Source organism: Homo sapiens, chromosome 5 (genome assembly GCF_000001405.40).
Source record: "Homo sapiens chromosome 5, GRCh38.p14 Primary Assembly".
Taxonomy (NCBI): domain Eukaryota; kingdom Metazoa; phylum Chordata; class Mammalia; order Primates; family Hominidae; genus Homo; species Homo sapiens.
In genome coordinates, this window is record NC_000005.10 from 78,129,972 (window position 1) to 78,155,310 (window position 25,339).

Genomic DNA, 25,339 nt, shown 5'->3' on the forward strand with positions numbered 1-25,339 from the left:
TAGCCTCTAGTAATATTGGTCATTTATTTATTTATGTAAGGGAACAACTTATTATAGTAGCTTTTACACCATAATAAGACTTCCTAAGTCAATTTTTGAATGTACTACATTAACATATATTGAAATAATTTTAATAATTAAACCAAAATTGAAATGTTAACAAAACAGGTTTGTATTTTAAACTACAGTTATTTTATTGAAAAAGCATAGTTTTAACAAGAAGGCTACATGTGTACAATTTTAACTATAAGCCAAATAGAATTCATAATATATGGGAAAAATAAACCGAGAAACACTAAATCATTTACTTTAGATTAGAAGATTTTATGCACATTAGAAGCAGATAAAAAATAAAATCAATCAAGTTAGGCAGAGCTAAAGACAATTCTAGAACAATAAGTCAAAGTACAGAAATGGTGTGGTAAACTCTTTTACAATAATTGCTTAAGATAATTGATTTGATAGAAAGCAACCTTATTTCAGTAGCAGAGTAGTTAAAAAGGATTAACCCAGTTTTATTAAAGTAGAATTATAAAAAATACAAGTGAAAATGTTAATAGAGCTATTCTGAATTTGGTTACCAACAATTGCTATTCACTAATTGCTAGACCATGCTGGTTCAAGTACAGGTAAGAAAATTTCTATGATTCATTTTTTAAGACAATTTGCAAAGTATTCACCAAATGAGGAATACAATTCAAAACCAACTTAAAAGAAAATGTGGTACACTAAACCATGTAATTAATTTGCTGGAAAAACCTGGGAAATCCACTTAATCATTAGTTTTCTCAAATGTGGAGTTAGAATTTACAACTTGGTTAACTCTAAAGTCCATTTGAGTGCTGAGATTTTAAATCTGCAACTAAAATAAAGAAAGAGTCTCTTAATTGCAATGATTTTTTTGAGCTAGCAGAATGATACATTTGGCTTATATTTCTTAGCCCAAAATTAATTTTTAGGAAATTAAACATTTTCAATATGTTAACAATTTTGAAAGTTAGGTAGGGCATTTAAAGTAATTAAAATTATATAATTTAAAAATTTTTATTGACTGTAAAATGTATTATATTATAAGCTTATAAATAAGTTTTATTAAAATGTATTTTCAAAAATAACATTCTTTCTAAAAGATAAAAACAAATTTGTGTACAATGATGCACTAAAACCATAAGCAGAATAGTTATTCACCACACATTTACATACATTAATCAGTTTCTTCAGTGTATGTATCTAGTAACAAGGCATTAGTATTTCTCTGGAGAATACATTTTTATATGGCCTAAGTTTTTTTAAAAAAATAAAATTGCAATCTTTTTCCAAATTAAATTCTGCAGTGAGTAATTATAAAATTGTTGACATTTTCAACTTTCTTCTCTGTAGACCATATTTGGGTATAATGGAGAAAATACCCTCTTTACAGTATTTCTGGACAATCATGTAATCTCAGAGAAAATCCTACTGAATGAAGAATAGTACCAATCCTTGCTTTTATGTTAAAAACTGTCAATATTTCAAACCCAAATATTTAGCTTTTCCCCCATGTAGTCAATAAAAAGTTTTTACAATATTGACAACATTTTCAAATAATTATTTTATTTATCCTTTTAAAAATATGTCATCAATTTAGATACTACAAAACCAACTGCCTTCTCAATTTCATTTCATTCTACACAATATAAATTTTTCTAATTAAAAACAGGTGCTCCATCAAAAGAGTCTTCACGATAGGTGAGATAGTGCAAATGACAACCTCTTGATTAAATCTTGAGCTCTCACCATTTAACCTGTTCAGTTCTTCCCTTGCCTGTACAGGGAAAACTTTCAAAGTCTTTCTGTTTGCAAGACTTGTTTCTAATGATTGCTATTTGCTAAAATTTTTCAAAAGGTAAAATTTTTTGGCATTTACTAGTGACACTTTAAATAATCCAAACAATTTGTGAACCAAAACTTAACCAATATACAGAAGACTCAATTATCAATAAAAAATGTTTAAGCCAATATAAGAAACTTAATTTACAAAGCAGTTCTTCACAAAATCATGTATCTAAAATTCTGTTGCTAATATGCATTAAAGACAGTGTGTACTGTTATGCTATAGAATGGTTTTTCAACATCAGTTTCATCACAAGAATTTTATAGTTCGGTCAAACTGTGTATACTAATATCAGTAAATGTGACAACTACGGTTTTATTTCAACTGGCTGAATAAGCAGTTTGTTCGCATGCACAACAACCAATTCCTAAAACATTTCTCTTCCATAGTTTTCTTAATTAAATAAGAACATTGATTTTTACCATGACAACGTCCTTTCATCAAAAACAGTTTTATCTTCAAAGTTGAGCTTTTTAATTTACAACAGCATTTGCAATATTTTTGACAGAATAAACTTCCAAAAGCTTTACTTTGTTCCCATTTGCAGCCCTGACCAAACAAATATACAAATACATTGAATGAAAAAAGTCTATTTTTGGAATTAACTGATTTTCTGTTTGAAAACCAGCAGTGTTGGGCCTTTTTTCTACTAATGGAGCCACCACATTAACAGCTATTGTTTCATTTTTCATATGTGCATAAGAAAACATAGAATAAAAGTAAAAAACTAATTTTCAAAAAGTTATTTGATCTAAATGAGGTCATGTTTCACACAGAATTATATAAACATCTTCTGCACCTGTACGTATTAAATTACCTTAATGCATAATCTTAAAATAACTACTAGCTTTTTAAATGGATGTTGATCTTTTTGTAGCAGATTGTTGTGTCTTCTGGTTGTTGTGTGGTCAATGAGATCACCAGCACTCTCATGATGGTTGGTAAATGTCGACAAATATTTTATGCATGTTAAGTACTAAGTGGAAATTTAGCACTTTATTGTTTGTTAAATGTACACTTCCACTTTAAAAAATATATTGCTGATGATTTTATAACAAGATAAAAAAAGAACTGCCAAATAATAAAACAAACTTTAGACTTACACTATACAATAAATGACAAAACTACTGTAGCAAGAGTGCTTTCACCACTCTCTTTAATGACCTAGGACAGGACTATTCAGTCTTTACTCCTGCACATATTTCACCTATAACCAACCTCTAACTTCCCATGTTTTCCTTTAATTCCACCCACTGGCAGCCTGGAGCTTCATGCATCTCATAGGCCATGGCAACACTTGCTGGTATATCAAGTTGCTGGCAAATGAAGCATTGTTAAATACTCATCTCTCCACCTCCAGCAAAGCAAAAGACAGCTTTTCCCACCTGCTTTGTCAGAGTATACTTCATTTATCAGCACAAATCCTGCCTGCTGTTCTAAAAGGAAGAAGTTAGTTATGTTACATCTAGAAAGGGTGGGAAAAAGATACAGTCTTTCAGATTTAAATGGCTCACATATTAAAATGAAATCTCTGTTCACTGCACTTGTGTCTTAACATGCCACTAGACAAAATTATGGCAGAAGATAGAAGACCTCAAAGCGGAGGTCTACAAATTAACTGTGCTATTTTAAGGCAAATATTAGTGATATTACTTCATTAAAAATTTGGGACAAATCCTAAACTAGATGGCATGGAGACAACAGGCATAAATTAGATCTGTCCAGGGAAGCTGTTAGGAAGAAAACAGACAACATTTAAGTACAATCATGACATTTTAATATCACCAGAGGCTCAATCCAAAACCAGATGGGATATTAATTAAATAGTACTTTTAAATTTGTTTTATTCACAAATTACACAAGATAAGCAATGACAGTATAATGTATTATCATTAACAAAAATATTCAATATCATATATACAGCTATTTATTAAATTTTGTTTTCAGACTAATTTTCCTGCTTAGATTTAAGGAACCATTATTGGTACCAACTAATGGCTAATGCTATCCAGACACTAATTATATCAATTACATTTTCTTCAGATTGACTCTAAGTCACTGTGACACAGGAAAAATGAATTTGAAGAACTGTTACATAAAAATTAAGAAATTCATTATTACACAGTGAAACCCCATCTCTACTAAAAATACAAAAAATTAGCCGGGCATGGTGGCGGGCACCCGTAGTCCCAGCTACTCAGGAGGCTCAGGCAGGAGAATGGCGTGAACCTGGGAGGCGGAGCTTGCAGTGAGCCGAGATCGCGCCACTGCACTGCAGCCCGGGCGACACAGCAAGACTCGCCTCAAAAAAAAAAAAAAAAAGAAATACATTATTTAAAAGACTTCTCAAAATACTCTGACAATAAACTGGGAAATATTTATTCAAACAATAGCTTTCTTCTAATAGATTATAAGTCAGTACAAATAACTAAAAAGGTCTCTTAAAATATAGTCCTAATATATATTTTACTATTAATACTATAGTTCTAATAATATCTTTACTATTACATAAAAAGGACACAGAAGTCTGCATTCGGCATAGTAAAGATTTATATTGGTTCTACATTGCTGTTATTTTTTAACAGGATGATACAAACAAATATGTTTGGTAAATGAAGTAAACTCTACATAGAATTCTTAACTTACACCAGAGGCAAACCTAAGCAGTACCGTTGTTCCATCTAATTAGTTTCTTTCTTTCTTTCTTTCTTTTGAGATGGAGTTTCGCTCTGGTTGCCCAGGCTGGAGTGCAATGGCGCGATCTCAGCTCACTGCAACCTCTGCCAACCAGGTTCAAGTGATTCTCCTGCCTCAGCCTCCCAAGTAGCTAGGATTACAGGCATGTGCCACCACACCCGGCTAATTTTTTTGTATTTTTAGTAGAGACGGGGTTTAACCACGTTGGTCAGGCTGGTCTCAAACTCCTGACCTCAGGTGATCTGCCCGTCTCGGCCTCCCAAAGTGCTGGGATTACAGGCGTGAGCCACTGTGCCCAGCCCTAATTAGTTTCTTAATTTCATGACTAAACAGGATTCTTTATGTGACTTAGATGTAATTTCTGAATTTAATAGTATCTACCTTTTTGTCAACTTGAAAAGTTTTCTGTAAGGTCTTCCTTTCTGTATTATATTTACTTGAGTTTTTCAATGCCAGGAAAACATATCAAAGAAAGGATAGAGATGTCACTTCAGAGTGTCCAAGTCTCCTTTTGTTAAATCACATTAAAGAGGCTTTGGGGGAAGGAGATTTCTCCAAAGACCTGAATCACGGGCAAGAGAGAATCTGCTTTTAACTTTAGGAGGAATCCCTAAAACATCAGTGTGATTTACAAAATCTCTCACTAAGAGTAAAAAAGAACTCAAGGAAGCACTTTCTTTTTTAATAGCAGAAAAGTAGAAACTTAAATGTCTGACAGAGATAGTAATTAAATTATATCTACACATATCCATATTTCAAAAACATGATATTAAGCAAAAAAAGTTGCAAACATATACATAAAGTAGAATATCTACTTATGTAAAATTTGAAAACTCACAAAAACAACCATACATTGCTTATGGATGCATATTCATATAATAAAAATATAAAACAGGGATGATTGAATGAAACACACCAACAAGGTGGCAGTGGTTACCAATGGGGAAGAAACGAACGTGTGAACAGAAGCTTGAGGTTCTAGTTCTATACATCTTACATTAAATAAATAAATAAATAAATAAATAAAGGCAAATGTGAATATCAACTTAATCCTAGTGGTAGATATACACATATGTATTTATGCTATTATGTACTTTTCCATAGGTTTGCAATATTTCATAACTAAAAATCAAAATGAGCTAAGAAAAACATTAACTTATAGCACTTATCACTACATTTAAAAGATGACATACTATTAGAGTTTAAAATCAAAAGCATCTTTTATTCATTAACTTTTAAATTGTTATTAATTTGTTTAATTAAATCCTTTCTTCCTCAAACTTCAGTAGACTATTTCAACGAACTCATGCTAAATCTTTATACTGCCTTAACAGTTCTAGATTTCAGCAACTTCAACTGGTTTCAGTCTTTCAACTTTTTCCCCACATAAAAGTGAAATTACTCCTGTGTGAGAGTATTCTAAGAGTGTTTTCTACTCTTGATACTTATTTCTAACCATTTTTTTCTTCACAGACTGAAAAAAAAGAGGGGCGGGGAGATTTCAGCATCCTACTTAGAAAATCTCAGTAGGATAAACCCAAATCAGTAGTTTTTTTTCCTAATAAGAATACACTTTTTGTCAGTAACTAGACTAGTTTCTTTACTGTAAATCATCATATTCCCTAAGAAGAATACAGCAGTTGCTCGCTAGGGTTACAAAAGAAGGATAACTAAAATGAACTAGGCACTATTATGTGCAAGGAAATCTAAGCATTTTACATGAACTGTTTCATGTTATCCTCATAATAACTTTGTGAGGTAGGTACAGTCAGTTCTGCTCTAATGCTTGTTTTGAAAATGTGCATTTGTTCCAACTCAGTTGGCATATTAGGGAACAATTTGGGCATAACATGAATTTTGTGGTGATTTCTTCTGCAAGAAATACTAGGTGAAGGCATAAAAATGCACCCAGCTAAACAGAGATGTGTAGGAATACACAAAACATACATACCTCAAACATGTACTTCAGAGGTTAACATCTACATGTGTTATGCGCCATATTCATGCTCATTAGGAGGCACAACTTTCCATCCAATTTCAGATTAACCCTCTTTCTACCGCTGAACAAGTATAGCCTTTCTTCCATAAGCAAACCTCAAGTCTTTTTCAATATAAAGAGCAGTATCATTGTAGTATTTATTTGTTAACCATTTAACACGTGTAAAATTGTACTTCTGGTTTTTTTTTTTAGGTTCCTTTTTAAAAAATATGTCACCAATATAGTTTTTGAGTGTTGCCACTCTAACTGCATTTTTCTAATAATCCCTATGGTTTTTATTGTGTGATTTTGTATAGCACAATGATTTTAGAAGCATACATGTTGCAATATAGCAAAATTGACTATATTATAATAATTCCCATTTTACAGATGAGAAAATGAAATCTTGGATAGGTTATATGATTTGTCCAAAATCATGTAAGTGGCACAACATGATTTGAAGCCAGGCAGTCTATTTACCATATTATGCAACCACTACCACCATCCATCTCTAGAATTTTTCATCTTCCCAAATAGAAACTCTGTACTCATTAAACAATAACTCCCCATCCTGGTTCTTCTTATGTTGAGTAATTTTGGATATACAAGATACATTTGGACATTAAGAATGCCATGTATTTTAGAGACTCTGGACATAGTTAAACTCTTTGAATGAGTACAGGATTTTCATTTGTTTTAGCAGGTAATTAACTTTGTTGGGGTTCAAGGTACAAACTCAGTCTCTTGGGTACACCTCAAATTTCAGCTTGGTTCTTTAATTCCTAGCTGTGTTTCTCTGAATCCACCCTGCATAAGTATGGTTCAGATGCCAGCCAAAAACTTAGGTACAATTACTCCCAGATTTTGAGATTCTCCCACACTGACTCTCTCCTTTCTACTATTTTTCCTTAACTTTCCAATGTCTGTAGCTTTCCTGAACTCTCTTCTCTACTTCCTCAAGCCAGAAGGACTTTGAATTTCCTTTTGGAGGTCTAGCCACTGTGCACAGTGCCAACTGCAAACTGTCCTCAGGATAAAAGCCATAAAAACAGGGAAAATAACTCTGTGCCATTTCCTTCTTCTAAGTATGAATTTCCCTCCAGATTCTCTTGCTTTTCTTTACTATTCTGTGTCTTCAGAAAGTCGTTTGTTTCTTGTATTTTTCTGGAGTTTACAGCTGTTTTCTATGGTAGGGTCAGTCTAGGATATACTCAAAACAGACTGCTAACTAATTTTTAAATTATTTTTTATATTAGGTCAAAAATAGTTTGAGGCAGATAAAGAAATTTACTATTTGATTATTCTTCAAACATACAAATAAATACAATATGCTAAATCTTATAAAAATCAATTTAGACATTCTCTATAACCCTAAATAATTCAATAAAAATTATAGAAATGCTCACTGAGGTATTTAGGCCACCGGGAATTCAGATCTACAAATAAATATCAAGACTTCACGGCAAACCAGCTACTCATCACTGTAATCGACTCTCCCTAGCTTAGTTTTAAAGATGGCTAAAATAAATAAGTAGAGAAAACAATTCTTAGTATTTCAGTCAAAACAATTATTTTAGTCTGTCTTATATCTAATGGATTACACAAATTTTAAAAATTCTATCAAGTTGATAGTGCTTAAAACCATTCTTTAAAACTAATTTTCAGGCTGGGTGCAGTGGCTCACGCCTGTAATCCCAGCACTTTGGGAGGCTGAGGCAAGCGGATCACTTGAGGTCATGAGTTCAAGACCAGCCTGGCCAACATGGTGAAACCCCATCTCTACTAAAATACAAAAAAAAATTAGCCAGGTGTGGTGGCAGACACCCATAATAAGCTACTCAGGGGGCTGAGGCAGGAGAATTGCTTGAACACGGGAGGCAGAGGTTGCAGTGAGTCGAGATCACGCCACTGTACTCCAGCCTGGGCGATAGAGGGAGACTCTGCTCCAAAACAAAACAAAAAACAACTAATTTTCAGTTGCTAATTCTCTCAATCTCCTCTTCTTGAGAAATATTCAAAAACAGAGAACAACTCTTCAAGACACTATTAATCTATTTTCATATTTAATCACTTAAAAACAATGAGCTACATAAAAATTTGTGATTAAAAAAAATCACTGTGTTTTCACCATTAGGTGGTGAGGCCTATTGTAGTTTCCTAGAAGTATCATTCTAAAATATAAAATATCACGTCTGTAATCCCAGCACTTTGGGAGGCCGAGGTGAGCAGATCACTTGAGGTCAGAAGTTCGAGATCAGCCTGGCCAACACGGTGAAACCTGTCTCTACTAAAAATACAGAATTAGCCAGGCATGGTGGCACATGCCTGTAATCCCAGCTACTCAGTGGGCTGAGGCATGAGAATTGCTTGAACCTGGGAGGTAGAGGTTGCAGTGAGCCAAGATCATGCCACTGAACTCTAGACTGTGTGACAGAGGGAAACTCTGTCTCAAAAAAAAAAAAAAAAAAAAACACTTCAGAAACTGAGCTCCAAAACTGCCATTAATAATAGAGATCAAGAAAAAAAAAAAAAAAACCTGAGTGCAAACTAGTTGTCTTCAAATTCACTGGGTAAAAAGACATGAAACATGCTCTACAATAAACAGTACTACATTTCATTATTGGTTATTCACAGCTACAAAGAAAAGAGCCAAAGAAAGAAGCTTTACTTAGTTTGATTAAGTCTTGATTGACATTTGATTTTGGTATTACTTTAACAATAATCCATAAGCTAGATATATTTAGAGTGGCCAAACCAGACAGAAAAAAATCCTAAGAGTCTAGGTATCATATTGACTTTTGCCATACCACAGGGATTTAGTGAACACCATGGAGTTTCAGGCTAAAACTCCCTCTATTTTATCAAGAAACATGAAACTCAACAGCAAACATAGGTCTTTCTTTACTCAGTTTTTAGAAAGCATCTCAATGTATGAAGAAATCTACAGACACTTGGAAAGGATTAACTGATTCCTTTTAAAGATGACTTAAAATGTAAAGACAAAATCTAAATAATGGAAATATGCTCCATTATTTGCAATTATCTGGTTACAAATCTTGTAGATGAATCAGCAAAAGCTATAATAAGATAACTCATATCACGATTAGGGATGAAGATAATCCCAAAGCATATAGAAATGAATTTGAGGAATCGACCTAAGGATTCTGAAAGGCAAACATTAGTTTACTAGAAAATAAGTGTGGTCTATGGGGAAGCAGGAAAGGCAGACAGAGAGGGAGACACATATAGAGAGATACACAGCAAATACAAAAAGAGAGAAACAAACAGGGATGGAAGAGAAAGGAGACAATGACAAACACACTGGACTGTAGTACGGGGGCGGGGCACGAAGGGATGAAGGATGTCAGAGAGATATCTAGGCAGAAAGAGTTTTGGGGAAGGGGACAAAAACAAAGAGAGGGGAGGTGGAGAAAAAAAATCACAAAGGCAAAAGTAAGAGTCAGAGGAAAAGTGAAAATTAGAGAAAAATAGATAGGACACAGAGCATAAAGCTTCCCAAGAAGCCTAGCTGCAAATGAGCAAGAATCTTTTTCCAATTTACTAAACAGGTAAGTCCACTCACAGAGAATAGCAATTCAGATATAGGAAAAGTCCCTATTTCGTACATGGAAGCAAAAATGATTCCTCTTATTAACAGCTGCTCAAAAAGTCAATGGACTTAAAAAATGAATATTCTAAACTGCAAATCTGGTAAATTATACTACTATTAAAAGTGGTTTCCCTTTCCTCTGCAGGACAAGGTCCATACTACTTAGCAGAGCATACAAGCCACTCCATGCGTTCAAACTGCAAAATGTCTTAGTCCATTTGGGCTACTGTTAGAAAATACCATAAACTGGGAAGCCTATTAATAATATAATTAATAATAAAAATTTATTTCTCACAGTTCTGGAGGCTGGGAAATCCAAGATCAAGGTACCCACAGTTCTGGTGTCTAGTGAGCACCCATTTTCTAATTTACAGATAGCACCTTCTCACTGTGTCCTCACATGGCAGAAGCAGCAAGCTAGCTCTCAGGGATCTCTTTTCTAAGAGCATAAAGTTCATTTATAAAGGCTCCACCCTTATGACCTAATCACCTCCCAAAGGTCCTACCTCCTAATACCATCACATGGGTGATCAGGTTTCACCACATGAACTTTGGGGGATATAAACTTTCAGACCATTGTACCTGCCATTCTGGACTCACCTTCAAAAAGTTTCCCAGAAACACCAAGCTGTTTCTTGACTCTGACCCTGTGCTTTCCTCTTTCTGTACAGTAAACCACTCTTACAAGCCCTTAGTCAAGAGTTTCATCCTTTATAAAATTTTCTCTGACCTCACATCGACTTCAGACTTTATAATTCGTCTAGAATTCCACTGTATGTCAATACTTCTGCTACAGCATTAACACACACTATTTCATTTTTTAATCTGTTTTCTCTCTTACTAGACTAGAATGTCATCTGTTTGCACTAGTATCATCTAACATAGAACCTGAAACAAACAGGCACCTAGAAATTGTTGAATGGTCAGACTAATGAAGGCACAGACCCCCGCTGTTTGATCAGAGTGAAGAGGAAAGTACGTATTAGATAGGTTGACTAACATTTGCCTCTCACCTGTTTGGAGTTGGTTAAATACAATTTTGCTCCCAGATTTAATATCTGCAGTTTTACCAGATCATCTTCACTAGTGAAGCTTTTAGCCATCTTCCTCAAAACATCAGGGGCAATTTTAGGAACTCGTTCACAGTTTTCTCCAATTAGCCAAAGAATACTTGCTCTAGCAACAGGAACCTAATATGAGAAGCAGATTACATAGTTAGAAGTAAGTTAATCATACTCTAATATTAACATAGAAAAGGTTTTAACTATTACAAAAGTTTTACAGCTATTAATTAATTTAATGTATATCTAGGAATTAATCCTGTATTTATGAATTTTCGTCAGTTATCAAAAAATAAACACATAGGAAATCTCATTAAAATTGATTTCGAAGAGAATATCTTAGAAAATATTCATACAGCAAAAACCGATGGTCTAGAATCTAGATTCTATCAGAGACGAACAAATTCTAGAAGCCAGTCTAGCTGCCCATACCTATTTGTTTCTCCATTATCTGTTGCTGCTTTTGTGCTATAATGGCAGAAATAGTTACAGTGAAGACCATATGGTCCTCAAAGCCAAAAATATTGACTGTCTAGCAATTTATAGAAATGGTTTGCTGACCCCTGCTCTAGAACAGCAGTTCCCAAACCTCAATGCCCACAAAAATCATCCAGGGTTCTTACTAAAAAGACAGGTCCTGGGATCAGCTCCAAAATAGTATTTCTGTGGTGGGGCCCAGAAATCTATGTTTTAATTTAAAAAGCATCACAGATGACTCCTGAGACAGGTGGTCCACAAAGCCCATTTGAGAACCCACAGATAATACAGAAAAAGAAACAGATCAATTAGGTACTATGATTCCAAATCAAAACTGTTTTTGCTCTTTATGTATTAGCATCTACAACACTGGAAATATATCAAACTGATAAGATCATCAAGGTCTGCTTATAAAATCATGAATCCCAGTCTATTATTTGGTCAACAAAAGAAACAGGGATAAATTTGTCCAATATTGCATTTTGGCACTATATTTTTAAATAAACTGCATTTCAATATAATTTATGTTCTTAAAAGTCACTGCTTTGTGACAAATTGGAAACCTTCCATCAGTACCATTAAGACCAACAATTTAGAGTATGCAAATTAGTTTTATTACTATTTGCTTATTTGCATCCTCCCCTATTCCAAAAGGAATTTGAGAGGGTGTGTAAATTCATTTCAGTGAACATTTTCACCTCGCACAGAAAATTTGTTTTTTATAATAAGTGAAAAGGCTGACAGCTATCATTAAAAGGTGGCATCACGAGGAAAGATAATGTTCTTTTTATGAAGTCCTTTTACAATTTCTCAAAGTCCTAATATTTTCTGTAGTTTCATGGCTATACATAGTAGGATTGTTAAAGAAAAAAGTGAGAATAAGGACCTTTCCATAGCTAAAATTTTATCACAATATCTACCATTGCAAAATCTTTCAAAACACCCACATTATGAAATTATATAAAAATATTAAGTTACAATATTGAGTCCTTCACTAGAATCAGAATGAGATGATCAAAAAAGCTTTTAAATAAAAAGGTATATATTTTAAAACAGTGTAACAGCATGTCTTTAAATTATTATTTAGCATGTTTGGTGAGACACAAGAAATCCATATACTTGTGCAATTAGAAAAAGGTCTAAGTGCTATTAAAAATCTATTCATGCAGTGTGATAAAACTGATGCCCTTACTGCATACTGATTTCTGGAAAGAAAAGAGGTTATTTCTAACGTTCCAAAGGTTACACTGCATTAAGACCTTACTCCCAATCTATTATTTTAAATTGGGCTAAAGAATAGTAATTGAGTGGTACATTAAATTTTCCAGTATAGAGGAATTCAAGTTGCCTGCCATAATGAAAGGTAGTTCTAAATAAGAATATATGTGCAACTTCAAATTTCAGTTATGCTAGATTTATTTTTCTTAAATATTTTATTATATATTGCTAGTATAAAAATCAGAATTCTATGACATACCATAATCTATTATCCCATTTTAAGTAATTTTCTTCTGGTAACAATCTTTTGCAATTAAAAAGACGATCCCAAAAACAAGTAATGTTTAAAGAGATTGTTTATATTCATGAATATACTAAAATTAAAATTAAAATATTGGAATACTGTAAACACTCACGATACATATATTTAAAATACAACTCTTTGAAAAAATTAAAAATCAATAAATCACAATGCTCACAATAAAAATCTCAAGATGGTGGTGAGAATAAGATTTGTAGTTTTCTAGAACTGAGCTAATAAAATCCCCAAGAATTTTTAAAACTTAGAAAACTTCACCACAAGAAATAATATCAATATAAATATACCAAACTTTTGGTGATGGCATTGTATTACAAAGCTTAGGAAACTGACAAAGACAACATTTTTGAGCAGGTGGATGGGATCAGAATACTAAGATTTTTGGATTCCAGCTTTCCCTTTCTCTTCCCATTAAGCAACAGGACTCTCATTTATACACCATTGACACTATGAATTCACAGCCACTACTTTCAAAGATTTGAAGCACCTGAAAAAAAGGCAAGTAAGAAAATTAGTCACTTTTTAGAGGCCAGGCACAGTGGCTCATGCCTAAAATCCCAGCACTTTGGGAGGCTGAGGCGGGTGGATCACTTGAGGACAGGAGTTTGAGACCAGCCTGGCCAACATGGTGATACCCTGTCTCTACTAAATATACAAAATTAGCCTGGCACACTCCTGTAATTCCAGCTACTTGGGAGGCTAAGGTAAAAGAATCACTTGAACTCAGGAGGCAGAGGTTGCAGTGAGCTAAGATTGTGCCACTGCACTCCAGCCTGGGTGACAGAGCGAGACTCTGTCTCAAAAAAAAAAGAAAAGTAAATTAGTCACTTTTTGTTCCCCATGGTCTTTTTAACCACAAAATAAATAGGAACACTGAAATAAAACCAAACTAATAATACACACACAGACACAGACACAGGTACAGACACACACACAGAGTCATACATATGATATAATACTTTCATTATGAAGCTCTGCTTTTCAATATTCTCAAAGACAAATTGGATTGTAAATGACTTTGCCTGATTCTTTATTCTAAATGCCCTGAGAAAGTGATTAAATGCACTTTTCAAACCTTGTACTAGAAGGCAGTTTCCACGGCCACCACAACCCATTAATTTGCCAGCAAAAACAAATAATGATTCCTAGCTCACCACAGCAGCTATAGAAAGACATCTAGAAAGATTTTGCAGATCACTCTGTAAGCAGTTCAATTTAAAAGCTATTGTGTTTCAACACCAGCCCACTGCACAGTGCAACAGTCCAAAGTAAACCCTACAAAAACATCAATTTCATTTATTTAAATTTGTCAAAGGCAAAATCAGTAGACATCTAAGCAAACTGCATACCAACAGCAAATCAGATCTAATACTCTGTATCTGGACTCAATATGCATTAAAGCCTAAGCCTGAATTACAATGGGGTGCCAGAGAAAGGGTGGGTAACTTGTGAAATGGCAGGCATCCTGTGAGGCATCTGGGCAACAAGGATACAAAGTGCTATTTCAATATTACTCAGTTTTTACAGAATAACATCTTTCAGTTGTTAAGATATGAAATCCCATCTGTCCCATTAAACATTATGTGAAATCCTGTCAGAGCAATCCACAGGTAGTATGGGTTGTTTTGTTGTTGTTGTTGTTTTTTAAAGACAGGGTCTTACTCTGTCATCCAGGCTGGAGTGCGGTGGTGCAATCATTGCTCACTACAACCTCAAACTCCTGGGCTCAAGCAATCCTCCCGCCTCAGCCTCCCAAAGTTCTGGGATTACAGGCATGAGCCACCATGCCAGCTGATAGTATGCATTTTATTCTAGAAGAACTCCAAAACCAGTATTTATCATAAATGAAGGATACGCCAAAGGACAGAATACTCACAATCAGAACATGTAAGTTGACTGTATTACAGACATAAATCTATTTGATTTGACCGAATTCAAAATGTAAAATACATTTAAACTTTAGTTTTTATATTTTCAATTATTACTAAATAACCAATTAAAACAAAGCCCTCAATATGATAAAATCTATGTTCTCTTTTTAAAACAAATTACATAGCTAATATCTATTGAGCTCTTACCATGTGCCATGCACTGTTTTTGAGAGCTTTACGTATTTTCTCAGTCATTCATCGCCAAAGCCCTATGAAGTATGCTCTACTATGATCTGCACTAGACATATGAGGAAACTAGGTAACAAATGAGTTAAGAAACTTGCCCACATCTCACAGCTGGTTAGTGGTGGAACTAGGATCAGAACTCCAAATCTGAATCCAAAATTCATACTGGATCACTGGGTAGCGACAAAATGAGTGTGGTAAACTAGGAAGAATACTGGTCAGCAAGCTGTTGAGACCGGTTCTGATCCCACACTGATGGTGTTACATCAAGGAGGCAATTAACTTCACCTCACTGGGGTCATATTTACTTATTAATCAGATGAAGGATTATTCCTTCATCCTCTGTTTGTCTGCCACATTGTGCAATGGCTCCCTTAGTGCCTCCTGCCATTTCCCCAAGAGCCAGATTTTCAGGGCAGACCCAGGCCATCCTCTTGCCTGTTCCCACACCCGTGTATAGTGGGACATTTTCCCACTTCTTTCACCTCTTCTTTTAAGGATAGGTAAGGTGGCCAGGTGGGAAGAGGTCTTGCTATCACTTCTGTTCTCTCTCCTTCCAGAAGAAAGATGGACCCAGGATTCTGCCCTAATAAAGTGGCTCAGGCACTGAAGGAAAACATGCTCAATATTGACCCATTGTCCTTAGATATTGGACAGACTGGCTTTTCCTAAAATTGCAGTGTTTTAGAATGACACTCCTGGGTTTGATGGTGAAATAGGTAGAGATTCAGGAGGACAGAAGTCTCATTTAAGGCTCTTATTTTAAGGCTCACATTTTAAAATCACTTGCCTACGTTTAGGAGTTATCAGGTACTTGGTCGGATTAATAAAACACTGCTTTTATTTCCACATGGCCATTGTTCTTGTATAAACAGCTCTCCTGACTGGAACAGAGAGATTCTGGGGATTCAATCATTCTTCTTTCCTGACTTTGAAGTTATGTCTGCTACATCCCTCATCACCTTCTCCTGGGGTAACTTGTGGTTGACCATTTTGAGGGTTCTGCACAACAAATTGTTTTGATTCTTCCTTGCTTGTCCCACCTTCAAGCACTTCAGTTTCCTCAGATACGTTAGATGAGCAGTAACAACTAATTATCAGCTTTTCATTCTCCTTAAGTTCAAATGTGTGCTGTAGAATTCCATACAGCTTTCTTGTATTTTAATTTCTTTTATTATCATATTCCAGATTTGTCTACTTTTGTTACCTCTCTCTGCTTCATAATAATTAGAAGGGAATTTTGTTTTATTTTCTTTCCAAAAGACCAGATTTAACATGTACTTTTCAACTCATATATATTTTTTGTATTCTATTTTACAAAATCAGCATTGATCCCTCTTCTGTTTTGATTCGTTTTTCTTTTATTTTATATCCCTATACTTTAAAAATGGTGATCTTTATAACTTTAGCCATGTCCTACATGTTTTGAAATAAAGCATTTTATTTCCTGGGTTTTAGAAAAAAGTTTGCATTTCTTCTTTAAATGCATTCTTTAATCTGAAAGTACATTTCTTACTTTACAACTGGTCTGGTACCCTTTTAAATTATTTAAGTCTCATTTCATTGCTTAAGGTCAAAGAATGCAAAATCTTTAAGCTTCCTTTATGCCTAAATACATTCTTGATTTTTTGAAAATATTCACTGGATATACTCCTAAAAGTGGGTATTATCTGTTCAAGAGATATAAGGTTTTAGCTATATTTACTAAATAAGTTTTTGATTACTTAATTTTCTTACTTATATCTGTCTACTAGAAATATCTAATATGAGAGAAATACATTACAGTCACACATTGTAACTATTTTATCAATTTCTCCTCACATTTTGAATAGATTTTTCCTTTACATATTTATTTGGTTGCCATATTTTTTGTGCAAATAGGTTTGTGCTTATTACTTTCTTTACAAATTACCCTTTTTTCATTTTATAATGTTCCTTTTTATCTTGTTAAATGCTTTTAATTAACTGTAAATCTCACTTTCTTGTTCATATTTGCTTAATATCTCTTTCCTTACCTTCTTATTTTCAACTTTTATCACTTGATTAAGGTGCTTTAACTATAAATGGCCTGTAGCTAGTTTTTGTTTTTATTCCAATTTGTAAGTCTGTCTTTTGATGAGAAAATTCAGTCCATTCATATTCAAGATGAGAAATATTTGATTTTATTTCTTCCATCTTTATTACTTTTAAATACTTATTATTTATTTTACATTTGTTTTCTTTCTTTCTTATTTTTTTTCTGGCTTTGTAAAACTGCTATTTGTTCCTTTATTTTCCTTTGTGAATACTGAATTCTCACCATATTTTTGTATCTATTAATGGTTATCTTCTGAGAAAAACAAAAGCTGAAAAAAATAAGCTTTGCTATATAGAGCTGTAAGACTGTACTTATTTGGCTTATAGTCCAGCAACTGTTGAGAAAGTTGATGCATCAGCCAGGTGCCATGGCTCACGCCTGTAATCCCAGCACTTCGGGAGGCTGGGGTGAGATCACCTGAGGTCAGGAGTTTGAGACCAGCGTGGTCAACATGGGGAAACCCCATCTCTACTAAAAACACAAAAATTATCCAGGCACGGTGGCGCATGCCTGTAATCCCAACTACTCAGAGGCTGAGGCAGGAGAATCACTTGAACCTGGGAGGTGGAGGTTGCAGTGAGATGAGATTGCGCCACTGCACTCCAGCCAGGGTGACAGAGCAAGACTCCATTAAAAAAAAAAAGGGAAAGAGAGAGAATGAGCGAGAAAAAGAAAGTTTACACATCAAAAGTATCTTCTGTATCCCTGGACATGAATATACTCAAATAGAAGAAAGTTTTCTTCCAAGAAAGCCTAGGGTTTGCCAGATACAGGCCTCATACACTGTTACAGGTTTTATGTATAGCAGCTGCACTCTCCTGAAGCCCTAGTACTTATAATTGCCTCTTCCTTTCTAAACAGGACCAGAACGAGTTTACTAGCACAAGTTTTAACTAAATTTTGCACAAGAAGTCTGGGGAGATACAGAACTCCTAGTTCCTTCTCATAATCAGATACATACTTCTCTACCATTACCTGTAAACAAGGTATTAACTATTTCCCTCACTAAAACCCATGGTTTTCACCTCAAGATAATTATTTTTACCTTACTACTTTTTGAACACCAGATGAGACTACCATAATAATTTCACTTCTCTCCACTCTCTTCCTCCCACAAAACCTTTAACATTCTTTTATTCTGACCTCCATTTAATCTCATTCCTCAGTTTTCCTGAATATTCAATGTTTTTAGTTCTAGGTTAATAGAATTTTCCTTATATTATGCCCCCTTCTTTATCAAGAGTTCAAATTTAGCACTTTGGTTAGACATTCCTAGTCTATTGCTATACATTTATTAGGTTGGTGCAAAGGAATTGAGGTTTTTGCCATTGTGGTAAAAACCACAATTATTTTTGCACCAACCTCATAATCATGTGTAAATATACAGTCACCTATATATCTCTCTTCTTTGTCTTCTTCCATCTAGAGTTCTCTGTGCTAGTTCATTAGCTATTGGTTAGACAAGTGGTTCTTCCTGGGGGCTGTATCACTTCGTAGGAAGTAACTAAATATGAGCAGTGTTACAATGACTAGAGACACGACTGAATTTTGATGCTTGGTGGATAGGAATGCTAGATGTCCATTTCGGCGGCTTTGAGAAAAAAAGCTTAACCTCTCATTTCCCATCAAAGTAATGTCAAACATCTGTTCTACACTGCGGTAGACATTGATCATGTCACTCTAATTCCCAATTTGTCAATGACTTGAGGGAAGCAAAAGGAAATAATAAAAAAAACCTTGGCTAGGTCACTGAGTAGGTATGTGAACTGAATACAGAAAAAGGACCGGTGACAATTTAAATATTTGTTAAATAAAGTGAAATTTTTAAACAGATAGATTATAAATGGAAGTGAGATACAACATAATGCACTGGTTAAGAAAGCAGACCTGCTGCTATGTGACCTTGGGCAAGTTACATAACCTCTTTGTGCCTCAGTTTTCTCAAATATAAAATAGGAATATTAAGAGAACTTTCCTTGAAGTGTTGCTATTAAAAATTAATAATTTATATTTTTAAGGTACTTAGAATAGTGCCTGGCAAATGATATGCTCTATAGGAGTTATTTTAAATAAGTAAAATATAAAAGAGGCAATAAGAAAGCTTACAAAATTAAAACCTTACCATAGTCTGTCTTCTTCAAAAAACACTCAATATTCCCTTAATAACAGCTTACACCGAGCACTGTTCTAAGTGCTTCACATGCATTGACTCATTCATTCCACCCAACAGAGCTCTAAGGTTGTCAGTACTATGATCCCCATTGTACAGATGAGAAAACTGGAGCATAGTGAAGTCAAGTAACTTGCTTAAGTTCATGAAGCTAGTAAAAGGTACAGACCAACTGTGAATCCAAGTCATCCGGTTTTCAAATTACTCTCTTAACCCCTACATCTCTCATACACAATCTCTATGAGAAGTCTTGGCTTTGATCATTAGAATCAACAGTAAGAACAGATATGAATACAAAGTAACTCTCCGCTGAGAGATGGGGTGGAAGTTCAGATGCTAAATGACTCCTGTAAGCCATACTTTTTTTTTTTTTTAGCTTTAAGATAAATGTGTAACTGCCTTGCAAGCTTTACTAACACCCTAAGGGAAAGACAATTTTGCCACCAGAGATATTTAAAATTGGTCTTGACTGGCAGGTTCTAAATCTTGTGATCCATTACCCTTGACTACACAAAAATGATCCCTCTGAAGAGAATGAGAATACAGATTAACCCATCTTCAAAAAAGGAAATAATATACTCCTCCCTAAACTACATCTGCATTTATTATAGAACATCACTTGGCAAAACATTAACCAGCACTCAAGAAAAAGGCATAGTAAAAAGCAAACACAATGGAGAAGAAATAGCTGAAGAGTTTGAAGAAAAACCAGAAGAGAAAAATCACAGAAGCCATGAGGAGACTATTTCAAAAAGGACGAAGTAGTTAGCGTAGTCCAATGCTAAGAAAAGATCAAGGAAGATAGGGACAGAAAAGTATCCACTGGATTTAGAAAGGAGATAGTAACCTTGGAAAAGGCATAGTTAATGAAGTGCTGGAGAACCAAAATCCAACTGTGACGGGGAGGGAGTTTGACGTAAAGGAATAAAACTTGTTGCAGATAGTTCTTTCAAAAACTTTGGTTTTAAAGGGAAGAAGAGCATGAAGATAGAATGACAAACACATAATGCAGCACTACTATGTGCCAGCCAGCGTTCCAAGGGCATTACCATATTAACTAAGCTAATACCTATAATAATACTATATTGTAGGTCCTTTTACGATCATCATTTGACACATGGGAAAAGTGAGGCATAAAGACTTTAACATAAGGACGGAGCTGGTAAGTGATGGAGTTGGAACTAATATTTATTGCTTTATTTATTTATTTTTTTTTTACATAATTTCAGACTTACAAGAAGAGTAAAAAAAATTCTGGATACCCTGCACTTAGATTCCCCAAATGTTAACATTTTACTGCATTTGTGTTAGCTATCTCTCCAGGTAAACATATAATTTTATTTTTTATTTTTATTTATTTATTTTTTTGAGACAGAGTCTCGCTCTGTCACCCAGACTGGAGTGCAGTGGCACAATCTCAGTTCACTGTAGCCTCCACCTCCCATGTTCCACCGATTCTCCTGCTTCAGCCTCCCAGGTAGCTGGGATTACAGGCACACACCACCACGCCCAGCTAATTTTTGTATTTTTAGAAGAAACGAGGTTTTACCATGTTGGCCAGGCTGGTCTCAAACTCCTGACCTCAGGTGATCCACCCGCCTTGGCCTCCCAAAGTGTTAGTTAGGATTACAGGCGTGAGCCACCACACCTGGTCACATTTTGTTTTCTTAACCAATAAAGGTAAGTTGTAGGAATGCTCTTATACCCCAAAATACCTCCAAATATAAGATAATATCATCTGCAAACAAGGATAATTTGACTTCTTCCTTTCCAATGTGGATGCCTTTATAACTTTCTCTTGTCTGAACGCTTGAGGTAGGACTTCCAGTACTGTGTTGAATAACAGTGGACATCCTTGTTATGTTTCAGAGCTTGGATGAAAGGCTAAGATTTTCCCCATTCAGTATGATACTAACTGTGGGTCTGTCACATATGGCTTTTATTATATTGAGGTATGTTCCTTCTATCCCCAGTTTTGAGGGTTTTTATCAGGAAAGGACGCTGAATTTTATCAAATGCTATTTCAGCATCAATTGAAATCATCATATGTTTTTTGTCCCTCATTCTGTTGATATGATGAATCACACTGATTGATTTATGAATGTTGAACCATCCTGGTAACCCTGGGATAAATCCCATTGGTCATGACGAATGATTTTTTAAATGTTGTTGAATTCAGTTTAGCAGTATTTTGTTGAGGATTTTTACATTGATATTCAACAGATGCTAGACTCTAGTTTTATTTCCTTCCTTCCTTCCTTCCCTCCCCTCCCCCTTCCCCTCCCCCTTCCCCTCCCCCTCCTCTCCCCATCCCTCCTCTCCCCCTTCCCCTCCCCCTCCCGTCCCCATCCCTCCTCTCCCCCTTCCCCTCCCCCTCCCCTCCCCATCCCTTCCCTCCCCCTCCCCCTCCCATCCCCTCCCCCTTCCCTCCCTTCTCCTGCCCCTTCCCTCCCCTCCCCCTTCTCTTCCCTCCCCCTTCCCCTTCCCTTCCCTTTTCCTTCCCTTCCCTCTCCCTTCCTTTCCCTTCCCTCTCCTTTCCCTTCCCTCTCCTTCTCCCTCTCCCTTCCCTTCCTTTCTTTTTGATGTGTCTTTGTTTGGTTTCGGTATCAGGGTAACAATGACCTTGTAGAATGAATTTGGAAGTATTCCTTCTTCTGTTTTTTGGAATAGTTTCAGTAGACTTGGTATTAGTTCTTCTTTAAATGTTTGGTAGAATTCAGCAGTGAAGCCATCGGATCCTGGGCTTTTCTTCACTGGGAGAACTTTTATTATGGTTTCAATCTTGTTACTTGTTTTTGGTCTGTTCAGATACTGGATTTCTTCACAGTTCAATCTTGGGAGGTTGTGTGTGTCTAGGAAGTTTTCCATTTCCTCTAGATTATCCAACTTACTGGCATATAGTTGCTTATAGTAGCCACTAATGATCCTTTGAATTTCTGCAGTATCAGTTATAATATCTCCTTTTTCATCTCTGATTTCATTTCTGCTCTGATTTTTATTTCTTCTACTAATTATGGGTTTGGTTTGTTCTTGCTTTTCTAGTTAAGATACATCATTAAGTTATTTATTATTTATTTGAAGTTTTTCTTCTTTTTTGATGTAGGCTCTTAAAGCTATAAACCTCCCCTTGAGTACTGCTTTTGTTATATCCCTTAGGTTTTAGTATGTTGTGTTTCCATCATCACATGTTTCAAGAAATTTTTCAATGTCCTTCTTAATTTCTTCATTGACCCATTGGTCATTCAGGAGCATATTGTTTAATTTCCATATGTTTATATTGTTTGAAAATTCCTCTTGTTTTAGATTTCTAGTTTTATTCCACTCTGGTCAGAGAAGATACTTGGTATTATTTTTTTCAATGTTTTAAGACTTGTTTTGTGACCTAACATATGCTCTATCCTTAAGAATGATCCATGTGCTGATAAAAAGAATGTGTATTCTGCAGCTCTTGGATGACATTTTCTGTATATATCTATTAGATCCATTTGGTGCATAGCACAAATTAAGTCCAATGTTTCTTTGTTGGTATTCTGTCTGGAAGATCTGTCCAATGCTGAAAGTGGAGTGTTGAAATCTCCAGCTATTATTGTATTGAGGTCTACCTTTGTCTTTAGCTCTAGTAACATTTGCTTTATATATCTGGGTGCTCCAGTGTTGAGTGCATATATATTTAAAGTCATTATATCCTCTTGCTGAATTGACTCTTTATCATTAAATAATGACCTTGTCTCTTCCTACACTTTTTGTCTTTTATAAGTGTAGGAAGAGACAGACATTTTGTCTGATGTAAGTATAGCAACACCTGCTCTTTTTTGGTTTCTACCAGCATGGAATGTCTTTTTCCATCCCTTTTTTTTTTCAGTCTATGTCTATCATTATAGGTGAAGTGTGCTTCTTGTAGGCACCAGATCATTAGGTCTTGATTTTTTATACATGCAGTAACTCTGTCTTTTGATTGGAGAGTTTAGTCCATTTACATTCAATGTTATTATTGATAAGTAAGGACTCACTCCTGCCATTTTGTTATTTGTTTTCTGGTTGTTTCACATTCTTCTCTTCCTTCCATCCTTTCTTCCTGTTTTCCTTTTAATGCAGGTGGTTTTCTCTAGTGGTAGGATTTAATTTCTTGTTTTTTATATTTTGTGTATCCACTTTACGTTTTTAGATTAGAGGTTACAATGAAGCTTGCAAATACTATCTTATTAATATAATCCATTATTTTAAACTGATGACAACACTGATTGCATACACAATCAAGCAAAAAGGAAACTAATAAAAGTTCTACCCTGCTTTTTCACTTTTTGTTGTTTCTACTTATATCATATTGTACTGTCCATGTCTTGAAAAGTTGTCATAGTTATGTTTAATCAGTTCACGTTTTAGTCTTTCTATTCAAGACATGAGTACTTCATACACCACAATTCTAGTGTTACAATATTCTGCTTTTCTGTGTACATACTATTACCAGTGAATTTTGTGCCTTTGAATGATTTCTTCCTGCTTACTACCATCCTTTTCTTTCAGATTGAAGAGCTCCTTTTAGCATTTCTTACAAGAAAAGACAGGTCTGTTGCTGACAAAATCCCTCCCTCAGCTTTTGTTTGTCTGGGAAAGTCTTTATTTCTCCTTCATATTTGAAGGATATTTTCACTGGATATACTATTCTAGGGTAAAAGTTGTTTTCTTTTGGCACTTTATGTCATGCCACTCTCCCCTGGCCTGTAAAGTTTCCACTGAAAAGTCTGCTGCCACAGGTATCAGACTTCAATTGCATGTTGTTTCTTTTCTCTTGCCGCTTTTAGGATCCTTTCCCATCCTTGACCTTTGGGAGTCTGATTATTAAATGTCTCGAGGTAGGCTTCTTTGGGTTAAATCTGCTTGAAGTTCTATAACCTTCTTGTACTTCAATGCTGACATCTTTCTCTAGGTTTGGGAGTTCTCTGATATTATTTCTCTGAATAAACTTTCCATCCCTGCCCCTTTCTCTACTTCCTCTGTAACACCAATATCTCTTAGATTTGCCCTTTTGAGACTATTTTCTAGATCTTATAGCTGTGCTTCATTCTTTTATATTCTTTTTTCTTTTGTCTCCTCTGACTGTGTATTTTCAAAGAGCCTGTCTTCAAGCTCACTAATTCTTCTTCTTGATCAATTCTGCCACTAAGAGACTCTGATGCAATCTTCAGTATATCAATTGCATTTTTCAACTCTAGAATTTCTGCTTGATTCTTTTTTACTATTTCAATATCTGTTAAATTTATCAGATAGAATTCTAAATTCCTTCTCTGTGTTATCTTGAATTTCTTTGAGTTTTCTCAAGACAGCTATTTTGAATTCTCTGTCTGAAGGGTCACGTATCTCTCTGTTTCTCTAGTATTGGCCCCTGACGCCTTATGTAGTTTGTTTGGTGAGGCCATATTTTCCTGGATGGTCTTGATGCTTACAGATGTTCATCAGTCTCTGGGCATTGAAGTTAGGTATTTATTGTAGTCTTCACAGTCTGGGCTTGTTTGTGCTTATTGTATTTGGGAAGGCTTTCCAGGTTATTCAAAGGGACTTGGGCCTCAAGCCCAATAATGATGTGGTTCTTGCAGACTGGTAGAGGTACTGCCTTGGATAAATCTGGGAGAACTCTCTAGATTACCAGGCAGAGACTCTTGTTCTCTTGTTCTCTTCCCAATCCCTGTGCTCTCCCTCCCCCTAGTGCAGAGATTCTCCATGCCACACTGCTGCTGCCAGGGG

The 25,339-nt window shown here is 35.1% G+C and overlaps 1 protein-coding gene across 3 annotated transcripts in view; it reads right to left on the bottom strand.

Moving 5' to 3' along the window:
• AP3B1 (adaptor related protein complex 3 subunit beta 1) overlaps positions 1 to 25,339 on the bottom strand; it is a 294,177-nt gene that overhangs the window by 129,450 nt on the left and 139,388 nt on the right. For all 3 annotated transcript variants that reach the window (NM_001271769.2, NM_003664.5, NM_001410752.1), the window contains exon 15: positions 11,172 to 11,348. In NM_001271769.2, coding sequence (NP_001258698.1) covers positions 11,172 to 11,348 — 177 coding nt within the window. The remainder of the gene's footprint in view (positions 1 to 11,171; positions 11,349 to 25,339) is intronic.